We start from the raw sequence: 11,488 nt of genomic DNA, 5'->3' as shown, positions 1-11,488 counted from the left end.
CAGGAAGACTGCTTTAGGCCAAGAGCCCTAGAGCAGCCTGGGCAACATAGTGAAACCCTGTCTCCACAGAAAACTTTTAAAAAATTAGCTAGGCATGGTGGTATGTGCCTGTAGTCCTAGCTACTCAGGAGGCTGAGATGGGAGGATCACTTGAAGCCAGGATTCCAAGGCTGCAGTGAGCTATGATCATGCCACTGCACTCCAGCCTTGGTGACAGTGAGACGCTGTCTGAAAGAGAAAAAAAGATTGCTCTGTGGACTTCACAGATACCTAACACCATTCCTCAGAAAGTGATGACAAATTCTGCTATCTCCTATTATAAAATTTTGAAATTTTATAATAACTTTATTGAAGATTTAAAAATATTCATTACATCATATTTACTTGTTTTAGGCCCCCAGGACCCAAGGGATAATACATTATGAATATTGATTAATCACTACTACCACACTGCTCCCCAGTAAGATAGGAAAATACCTTTTTATTTTAAAGATAATGTTTTTTTACTGATTATAAACTAATACATGCTGTTCAAAGTTAGGAAAGTTCAGGATAAAAGTCCCACCATCCAGAGAGACTATGACTGTGAACATTTTTCCATATTACTTTCTAATCATTTTTTATTTCTTAGCATATTTAAGAACATGTAGCTGGAATGGCACAACAATATATCTTGAATGCCAAGTCTGATTAGTATGTAGTGAAGCATGGAATGGAGAAGGCTCCTAAAGCTCCATCTGGTTTGTGATTTTTGATATTGAAAAATGCATAAAATTTGTCAATTTGCCAAGTCCCTGTTTGCTATGGTTTGAATGTGTCCTGCAAAATTCATGTGGGCTGGGAGCAGTGGCTCACACCTGTAATCCCAGCACTTTGGGAGGCTAAGGCAGGAGGATCGCTTGAAGCCAAGCATTCGAGAGCAGCCTAGGCAACACAGAGAGACCCCATCTCTACAAAAAAATTTAAAAAAATTAGCCAGGTGTGGTTTCATGTGCCTGTATCAGCTACTTGAGAGGCTGAAGCAGGAGGATCACTTGAGCTCAGGAGTTGGAGGCTGCAATGAGCTATAATCTTGCCATTGTACTCTAACCTCATCAAGAGAGTGAGACCCTGTCTCAAAAAAAAAAAAAAAATTCACATATTGAAACTTAATTTCCACTGCGATAGCATTGAGAGATAATGCCTTTTGGAGGTGACTAAGTCCTGGGGAATAAGTCATCCAGGCTGGAGTGCAGTGGCATGATCATAGCTCACTGCAGCCTTGGACTCCTGGGTTCAAACAATCCTCCCACCTCAGCCTCCTGAGTAGTTAGGACTAGAGACACATGCCAACATGCCTGGCTAATTTTTTTTTTTTTTAATTTTTGTAGAGATGGGGTTTCACTATGTTGCCCAGTCTGTTCTTGAGCCCTCATAAGTGGGATTAACAACCTTTAAAAGGACTGGAGGGAACAACATAGGCCTTTGCCTCACCCTCCTTTCTGCCATATGAGGACACAGCATTTAAGCTGTCATCTTGGAAACAGAGACAGAGCCATCACCAGACACCAAACCTGTCAGTGCCCTGATCTTGGACTTCTCAGCCTCTGAAACTGTAAGGAATAAATTTATGTTCTTTCTAAATTACCCAGCCACAGGTATTTTGTTATTGCAGCACAAATGGACAAAGACAGTGTTGTAGATGATTGCTGAGAACAGTGGCAGTTGGCTTTCACTCTTTATTAGAAATACCTTGATTACATTTTAACAACTTTATTCAGATGAAATTGACATACCATACAATTTACCCATTTAAAATAAACAATTCAAAATTTTTAGTGTATTTACAGAGTTGTGCAACCAACACTACAATCTAAGTTTAGAACCTTTTTATCAAACCCAAAAGAAACCCCCCACATCCTTCCACAGCCATTCCATTTGTCTCTAGTCCCACCAACCCTAGACTGTCACAAATCTATTTTTTGTCCCTATAGATATGCCTACTCTAGACATTTCATATAAATGGAATCTTGCAATACGTAATCTTATGTGATTGGCTTCTTTTACTTAGCATTTGATGTTTTCAAGCTTCAATGTAAAACATATCAGTAGTATTTAATTTATTTTTATTGTCAAATAATTTTTTTATTATATGGATAGACCACATTTTACGTATCTGTTCATCAGCTAATGCACATTTAGTTTGTTTCATTTTCTGCTATCATTCATATTGCTGCATAAACATTTGTATACAAGTTTTGTGTGGATATACACTCTTAGTTCTCTTGGGTCTCTACTTATCAGTAAAATTGTGTGGTCCTATGGTAAGTTTATGTTTATGGTTTTGAGGAATTGACGGACTATTTTCCAAAACACACCCCACCAGCAATGTATTAGGGTTCCAGTTTCTTATATCCTCTCCAATGCTTGTTACTATTTGTCTTTTTTATTATAGGCCATCTTTCCTAGTGGTTGTGAAGTAGCATCTTGTTATTGTTTTCATTTGCATTTTCCTGATGGCTAATGATGTTGAATATCTTTTCATGTGCTTATTGGCCATTTCTTTAGAAAAATGTCTTTTAGATCCTTTGCCCATTTTTAAATTTGATTGTCTTTTTATTATCAAATCATAAAATTTCTTTTATATAGTCTGTATATGAGGTCCTTATCAGATATGTGATTTACAAATATATTCTCCCAATCTGTGGATTAACTTTTTCTTTCTTTCTTTTCTTTTCTTTTTTTCTTTTTCATTTTTTTTTTTTTTTTAGATGGAGTCTCACTCTGTCACCCAGGCTGGAGTGCAGTGGCACAATCTTGGTTCGCTGCAACCTCCGTGCCCTGGGTTCAAGTGATTCTCCTGCCTCAGCCTCCTGAGTAGCTGGGATTACAGGCACCTGCCACTACGCCTGGCTAATTTCTGTATTTTTAGTAGAGACAGGGTGTCTCCATGTTGGCCAGGCTGGTCTCGAACTCCTGATCTCAAGTGATCCACCCACCTTGGCCTCTCAAAGTACTGGGATTACAGGTGTAAGTCACCACACCCCGCTGATAGGGTCTCACTCCTACCCAGGCTGGAATGCAGTGGCATGATCATAGCTCACTGCAGCCTTAAACTCCTAGACTCAAATAACCTTCCTGCCTTAACCCCCTGAGTAGCTGGAACTACAGCTATGCACCACCATGCCCTGCTAAGTTTTTTTTTTATTAAGTTTTTTGTAGATATGGGGTTCACTATGTTGCCCAGGCTGATCTCCAACTCCTGGCATCAATCAATCCTCCTTCCTCAGCCTCCCCAGTAGCTTGGACTATAGACGCATCCCACTGCAGCTGGCTCCAATGAATACTTTTCATTATGGTACATTTCACTTTGGACCGGTCACATTTGAAATTCTTGATGGTCATGTATGGCCATGGCTATTACCCTGGAGAGTGCAGGTTAGAGGATTAGGTGGCACTAGATTGAAACTATGGAGGTCAGAGACTGGATTTCACTCTTATATTTGTAGAACCCATCAAAGTGCCCAGGATATGGGAAATATTCAAGAAATATTAGTTGGTTGATTAGTTATTAATAATTACACTAGCAGGTTGGGCTGTAATCACATGAAACTCTGTGCCTGTGCTGTGCCTGTGGCTCAAGAAAATGCCCCAGGTGTTTCTGGGGTGATCAAAATCTGCTAGGCCAGTTAATAGGTAATCTTTAGTATTCTATTCAGAACCACTTCAAAGGCTGGGAAGGAGGAGGGGCTCACTTCAAAGGCTTTAGGAGAGAGAAATAGAGCAAGTTAGTAAAGCTGGTTGCCAGGACAACCTTCTCAGCATTGAAAGCGGACAATCAGGTTGTAGACCTAGGCTGGGTATAGCTGTGATCTTTGCTTTTGTAATATACTGTCCTTTTGCTTGGCTCTAAGGAAGAGCAGTTTTTAAATGGCAATTTAAGAGTGTAATTTGGAGCCAGGAAGCTATATGGTGCTAAAAGTGTTTAAGTGCAAAGGGAAGGAAAATGGGCAGAATGTTGATTGGAAGGGAACCACCTGAGGTGAAGCACAATCACTTATAAGGTTCTAGTTCAAGAGGAACTTTTAACCTTAACTTGCAGATAGACCTCACTTAATGGGAAACCAAGAATTGGGAGCAAAATCAGTTTTTTCTTTGGCCTTAGAATGTCATTAGATTAGGCAGTTTAAGAGTTAAGAAAGTAATTATTTGATACTTAGTTGATTTTTTTCTTAAGTTTTATTCTCAATTTGTTATTTAAATATTTATGCAGATGTTAGTCGGTAATTTTTTTTTTTTTTGAGACAGGGTCTTGCTCTGTTGCCCAGGCTGGAGTGCAGTGGTGTGATCACGGCTCACTGCAGCTTCAACCTCCTGAGTTCAAGCGATTCTCCCACTTCAGCCTCCCAAGTAGCTAGGACCAGAGGCATGTGCTTTCATGCCTGGTTAATTATTTTTATTTTTTGTAGAAAGGGGTCTAAATTTTTAAATAAATAAAATTTAATAAACTTTTGTGGGAACTATTACTGTATGCCTGGCACTTTACTAAATGCTTTTTATGTATTTAATTCTCAGGAAAAAAAATTGCCTACATTTTATAGATTTTTGTTTGTTTGATTTTTTAGCAACTCTTCTATGACTTGAATCAGATTTTTTAAAAATTGAAGTTTTGGCCAGGCGCGGTTGCCCATGCCTGTAATCCCAGCATTTTGGCAGGCTGAGGTGGGAGGATCACGGGAGTTTCACAGCAGCCTAGGCAACATACGAAGACCATTGTCTCTAAAGAAATAAGAAATTTAATTTTTAAAAAAATTTTTAAGTTTTGAGAGATTAAGTGCCTTGTTCAAGAATTGTTATGGCTGGGCATGGTGGCTCACACCTGTAATCCCAGCACTTCAGGAGGCTGAGGTGGGTGGATTGCTTGAGCTCAGGAGTTCAAGACCAGCCTGGGCAACATGGTGAAACCCTATCTCTAGGAAAAAAAAAAAAAAATTAGCCAGGTGTGGTGGTGGGCTCCTGGGGTCCCAGCTACTTGAGAGACTGAGGTGGGAGGATCATTTGAGCCTGGGAAGTCCAGGCAGTGCACTCCATTCTGGGGGACAGAGTGAGACCCTGTCTCAAAAAAAAGAAGAAGAAAAACAATTGTTTCTATAGAAATAATATAACTGTGGATAACTTTTATATTTCCATTATTTTTTATTTAAAAACTTTTAAATTTACATATAACTGTACATATCTGTTTAGTACAATGTGATGCTTTGTTTTATATATACACATGCATACACTGTGTGATGATTACATCAGAGTAATTAAGCATATCTCTCCCCTCAGACATTATCATTTCTTTGTAGTGAGAACATTCAAAATTTTCTCTTCCAGCTATTTTGAAATATGCAATACATTATCGGTAACTATAGTCACTCTTTGTGCAGGACACCACAACTTTTTCTTCCTAATTACAACTTCCTACTTGTTGACCATTCTCTTCCTGTTACTGAACCGAACTGGGGTCTGTTTGCTGGGTGCGCTAAGACCAAACATCCACACTGAGGTTTCGCAGTGGGAGAAAGGAGGGCGTTTATTTGCAGAGCGCCAAACAAAGACAATCAGGCAGCTCAGGCTTAAGGCCTGACCTCTCCAAAAGCTTACAAACAAGGGTTTTGTTTGTTTGTTCGAGACATAGTCTTGCTCTGTCATCCAGTCTGGAGTACAGTGGTGCCATCTCGGCTCACTGCAACCTCTGCCTCCCAGGTTCAAGCGATTCTACTGCCTCAGCCTCCCAAGTAGCTGGGATTACAGGCATGCGCCACCACGCCCGGCTAATTTTTGTATTTTTAGTAGAGACGGGGTTTTGCCATGTTGGCCAGGCTGGTCTGGAACTCCTGACCTCAGGTGATCCACCCGCCTCAGCCTCCCAAAGCGCCGGGATTACAGGGATGAGCCACCGCGCCATACGTACACGCGAGGGTTTTTAATGGTGGGGTGCAGATCAGGAAAGCAGACGTTACAGGCAAAATTGTAAATCAATGCATGGAGGTTATACTTTGGCCTAAAGTGGTGGGATATCTTAAAGGCGGGTGTATTAGTCCGTTGTTGCACTGCTATAAAGAAGTACCTGGGACTGGGTAATTTATAAAGAAAAGAGGTTTAATTGGCTCACAGTCTGCAGGCTGAAGCATGGCTGGGGAGGCCTCAGGAAACTTAAAATCATGGCAAAGGCAAAGGGGAAGCAGGCAGCACGTCTTCACATGGCCAGAGCTGGGGGAAGCGGGTGGAGGAGGTGCTGTACACTTTTAGACAACCAGATCTCATGATAACTCACTCACTATCATAAGAACAGCACCAAAAGGGAAATCTGGCCGGGCGCGGTGGCTCACGCCTGTAATCCCAGCACTTTGGGAGGCTGAGGCGGGCGGATCACGAGGTCAGGAGATCGAGACCATCCTGGCTAACATGGTGAAACCCCGTCTCTACTAAAAATACAAAAAATTAGCTGGGCGTGGTGGCGGGCGCCTGTAGTCCCAGCTACTCGGGAGGCTGAGGCAGGAGAATGGCGTGAACCGGGGAGGCGGAGCTTGCAGTGAGCCGAGACCGCGCCATTGCACTCCAGCCTGGGGGACAGAGCGAGACTCCGTCTCAAAAAAAAAAAAAAAAAAAAAGAACAGCACCAAAAGGGAAATCTGCCCCCACCATCCAATCACCAATCACCTCCCACCAGGCCCCATCTCCAACACTGGGATTACAATTTGACATGAGATTTAGTTGGAGACACAGATCAAAACCATATGGCAGGGGTGAGGTGGGGGGGCTACTTATAGGTCTTAGGGAGATTCAAAGATTGTTCCATTTGCAACTGGTTAAGGAAGGAAGGAAGGAAGGGAAGCTTTGTCTAAAGCTTGGGGTCCTCAGAAAAGAATCTTAGATGTAGCCTGTGGGTTTGACTTCCCCCAGGTCCCTCAGGAAGAAGTTCAGAAAGAACTTCTGTACTTCTGGTGGGGGTCTGGGTTTCTGAGAAACATCTCAGTGACAAACGTTAAGATGTTGTCTTTAAATTTTATTTGGAATCAATCATTTTGTGACTTGAACTTTCTTGGCTATTGCTTTAAGCTACTATTACCTTCTTGCTTATCCAGTTCATTTACTTCTCAAGGCTAGCTGGGTGCCTGGAGTTTCCCTTGAAGGAACTCAAGGTTTTCCTTTATTTCCATGCTTGGGGGGGTGTCCAACAGGCCCCTAAGAGGAGTCCCTGCTTCATCTCATTCTTACTCTCCCCAGCCCCTCCCTTCCCCAGTCTTTGGCAAACACTGTTGTATTCTGTACTTCTATGTGAACACATTTTTAGATTTCACATATGAGTGAGATCATATGGTATTTATCTTTCTGTGCCTGGCTTATTTCACTTAACATAAGCTCTCCAGGTTCATCCACGTCAAATAAGATAACAGGATTTCATTCCTTTTCATAGCTGAATTGTACTCCATCATGTATAGATACCACATTTTCTTTATTAATTTATCTGTTGGTGGAAACTTAGGTTGATTACTTATCTTGGCTATTGTGAATTGTGCTGCAACAAACATGAGAGTCAGATATCTCTTCGACATACTGATTTCATTTCCTTTGGATATATACCCAGTATTGGGATTGGTAGATCATATGGTAATTTTATTTCTAATTTTTGGAAGAGCCTCCATACTGATTTCCATAATGGCTGTACTAATTTACATTCCCACCAACAGTGTGTAAGGGCTCCCTTTTCTCCACATCCTCTTCAACACTTGTTATCTTTTGTTTTTTTTTTATGATAGCCATTATTCTCCTCCATTTAAAACAATTGGCAATAATTGTACATATTCATGGGATACCTAGTGATGTTTTGATACATATAATATATAGTGACCAGATCAGGATTATTAGCATATTCATCATCTCAAACATGTATCATTTCTGTGTTGGGAACATTCAATAGCCTCCTTATAGCTATTTGAAATGATATGATACAAATGTATCAACAGTTATTGTTAACTATACATATTGATACATATTGTTAACTATACATATTGATACATATTGTTAACTATATGGATGTTTCCAACAGAAATGATACATATTGTTAACAAATAGCTATAAGGAGGCTATTGAATGTTCCCAACACAGAAATGATACATATTGTTTGTTGTTGTTGTTGTTGTTTTTGAGACACCCACACCCAGCTAATTTGTGTATTTTTAGCAGAGATGGGGTTTCACCATGTTGGCCAGGATGGTCTCGATCTCTTGACCTTGTGATCCACCTGCCTTGGCCTCCCAAAGGATTACAGACTTGAGCCACCATGCCTGGCCACATATTGTTAACTATATATCATTTCTGTGTTAGGAACATTCAATAGCCGCCTTATAGCTATTTGAAACTATATGATACATTATTGTTAACTATAGTCATTCTACAGTGATTTAGAACACTATCTATTTATACTTTTTTTTGTTTTTTTTTAGTGACAGGTTCTCACTTTGCTGCCCAGGCTGGAGTGCAGTGGTGCAATCATACTCACTGTCACCTCAACCTCCTGGACTCAAGCAATCCTCCCACCTCTGCCCCCTGCATAGCTAGGACTACAGGAGTGTGCCACCATGCCTGGCTAAGTTTTAAAAGAAAATTTTGTAGAAACGGAGTCTCACTATGTTCCCTGGGCTGGTCTAGAACTCCTGAGCTCAAGCAATCCTCCTGCCTTGGCCTCCCAATGTGCTGGGATTATAGGAGTGAGCCATGGTGCTCAGCCCGGCTAATTAAAAAAATTTTGGTGGGGGGTGGCTGCGGTGGCTCACATCTGTAATCCCAGCACTTTGGGAGGCCGAGGCAGGCGGGTCACCTGAGATCAGGAGTTTGAGACCAGACTGGCCAACATGGTGAAACCCTGTCTCTATTAAAAATACAAAACATTAGCCAGGCGTGGTGGTGCATGCCTGTAATCCCAGCTACTCAGGAGGCTGAGGCAGGAGAATCGCTGGAAACCAGGAGGCAGAGGTTGCACTAACCTGAGATCGTACTACCGTACTCCAGCCTGGGAAACAGAGTGAGACTCCATCGCAAAACAAAACAAAAAAAATTATTTTAATTTTAATTTAATTTAATTTAATTTTATTTATTTATTTTTTTTTAGAAACAGAGTTCTGCTATGCTGCCCAGGCTGGTCTTTTTTTTTTTTTTTTTTTTTTTTTTTGAAACATAGTCTTGCTTTGTTGCCTAGGCTGGAGTGCAGTGGTGTGATCTCGGCCCACTGCAACCTCCACCTCCCAGGTTCAAGCTATTCTCGTGCCTCAGCCTCCCCAGTAGCTAGCATTACAGGCATGCACCACCACAGCTAGGTAATTTTTGTGTTTTTAGTAGAGACGGTGTTTTGCCATATTGGCCAGGCTGATCTCGAACTCCTGACCTCAAGTGATCCACCCACTTCAGCCTCCCAAAGTGCTGGGAATACAGGCGTGAGCCACTGCGCCTGGCGCTATGCTGCCCAGGCTGGTCTTGAACTCACGGCCTCAATCGATCCTTCTGCCTTTGCCTTTCAAAATGCTGGGGTTATAGACATGAGCCACTGTATCCAGCCTATTTCTACTTTCAGAAAATACTTGTGAATATTATCCCTCATAATAGCCTTAACTAACCTGTAAAATTCCAAGTAAATGATAATATGAGGCTAAATGGATAGGGCCTTCAAGAGACTGAAGGGATGAACATAGATTACAATTGCAGATTCATATAATGAAAGTGACATTTGAGGAACACATTGCCCTAATAATTAGAAAACATTTAAAGAAGCAGATTGGAGGCAAATGCAATGTCTAGAAATATTTTGTGATAATCCCAGGAGAAGGTGAAAGGGGCCTAGAATAAAATGTTATACACAAGAAAGGAAGGCACTGGTGACGCTCCCTGGTGACTGATCTCAATCAATCTAACTTTCTCTTGCCTTTATTTCCTACAGGGTCTTCTATTCTAACCAGCCCAGTATGAGTTATTAGTTCTATTCCATTCATTGACTCATGGATTTTTTTTTTTTTTTTTTTTTTTTGAGACCGAGTCTCACTCTGTCGCCCCAGCTGGAGTGCAGTGGCGCAATCTCAGCTCAGCAAACTCCGGTCCTGGGTCCAAGCGATTCTCCTGCCTCGGCCTCCCGAGTAGCTAGGACTACAGGCGCATATCACTGCGCCCAGCTAATTTTTGTATTTTTAGTGGAGACAGGGTTTCACCATGTTGGCCAGGCTGATCTCAAACTCCTGACCTCAAGTGATCCACCCACCTTGGCCTCCCAAAGTGCTGGGGTTACAGGGAAATGAGCCACTATGCCCGGACTGACTCATTGATATTAAATAATGCTTTTCTGTGCCTGATATGCCTTCCTTGCACTCTTTGTTGAGAAGGAATTCTTGACCAAAGAACAGATTGATTCTTTTTTTTTTTTTTTTGAGACGGGGTTTCACTCTTGTTGCCCAGGCTGGAGTGCAATGGCACAATCTCAGCTCACCACAACCTCCGCCTTCTGGGTTCAAGCGATTCTCCTGCCTCAGCCTCCCGAGTAGCTGGGATTACAGGCATGCACCACCACACCCGGCTGATTTTTTTGTATTTTTATTAGAGATGGGGTTTCTCCATGTTGGTCAGGCTAGTCTCAAACTCCCAGCCTCAGGTGATCCACCCGGCTTGGCCTCCCAAAGTGCTGGGATTATAGGCTTGAGCCACCACGCCCAGCCCAGATTGATGCTACTCCCTTGCCAAGCACTATATTAATTGGTTCATTGGAGAAAATGGTGCAAAAAACATTTAGAATTCATGGAAGTATAAAGTGTCACAAAGATTTTTCAATAGTATTTTTAAACTTAATATTAATCCATTATCCCAAGTTGACTGCACTTTTTCCTCAACCCTCCTTGAGATTGAGGTCTGTTCTTTTTATTCAAAAATTCTAATAGCAAAGTCAATCATTACTACCTTTCCTCCCTGGACCCCCACTCCCGTATAAGGAGAAGCAGATAAATAAAACTACACAGATAAGACACTGAATTCTCAAACTCCCTTTTCTAGCCTAAATGATTGGCAGTGATGCTGAAACTGCCTTTGCAAGATTATGACAGCAAGACATCTGACCCAGTTGACTCCATTTTGCTTCTGACCTCCAAGCTGTCTTTGATCATTTTTGGGTATAGGCCAAGCTAACTTTGGGAGGAATTTAGTTTATAGTTTAACCTTAAAGCAAACATCTTTGCTTTAACAGCTCTTCCCAAAATCAAACTGCCTTTGTAAAACTAATGAAAGGCCACAAGATTAGGATTATGAGAGGGGCCTGAATTCTGATAAGATAGGCATAGTTTCTATAATCTTTTACTAGCTCAGGAGTCATAGGGCTGGAGGTCACAAGATTTGTGACTTGCCCAATTGCTCCTGTAGATAACATCAGGATTGGATAACCTAAGATTGGTCTTTTGAAATGTTATTCAGACTTTTGCATTCTGGC

The 11,488-nt window shown here is 41.5% G+C and overlaps 1 annotated feature.

Annotated features, from left to right (window-relative positions):
* Positions 3,377–4,231: an enhancer, noted in NCBI's record as "OCT4-NANOG hESC enhancer chr7:138080812-138081666 (GRCh37/hg19 assembly coordinates)". NCBI's record gives its function as "activates a minimal SCP1, AML or CMV promoter by ChIP-STARR-seq in naive H9 embryonic stem cells {active_cell/tissue: H9 hESC(naive)}" and the evidence as "EXISTENCE:reporter gene assay evidence [ECO:0000049][PMID:30033119]".

Source organism: Homo sapiens, chromosome 7 (assembly GCF_000001405.40).
Source record: "Homo sapiens chromosome 7, GRCh38.p14 Primary Assembly".
In the NCBI taxonomy this organism is placed as follows: Eukaryota; Metazoa; Chordata; class Mammalia; order Primates; family Hominidae; genus Homo; species Homo sapiens.
The sequence above is the reverse complement of the archived record's forward strand: the minus strand, read 5'-3'. Positions and strand labels throughout refer to the sequence as shown.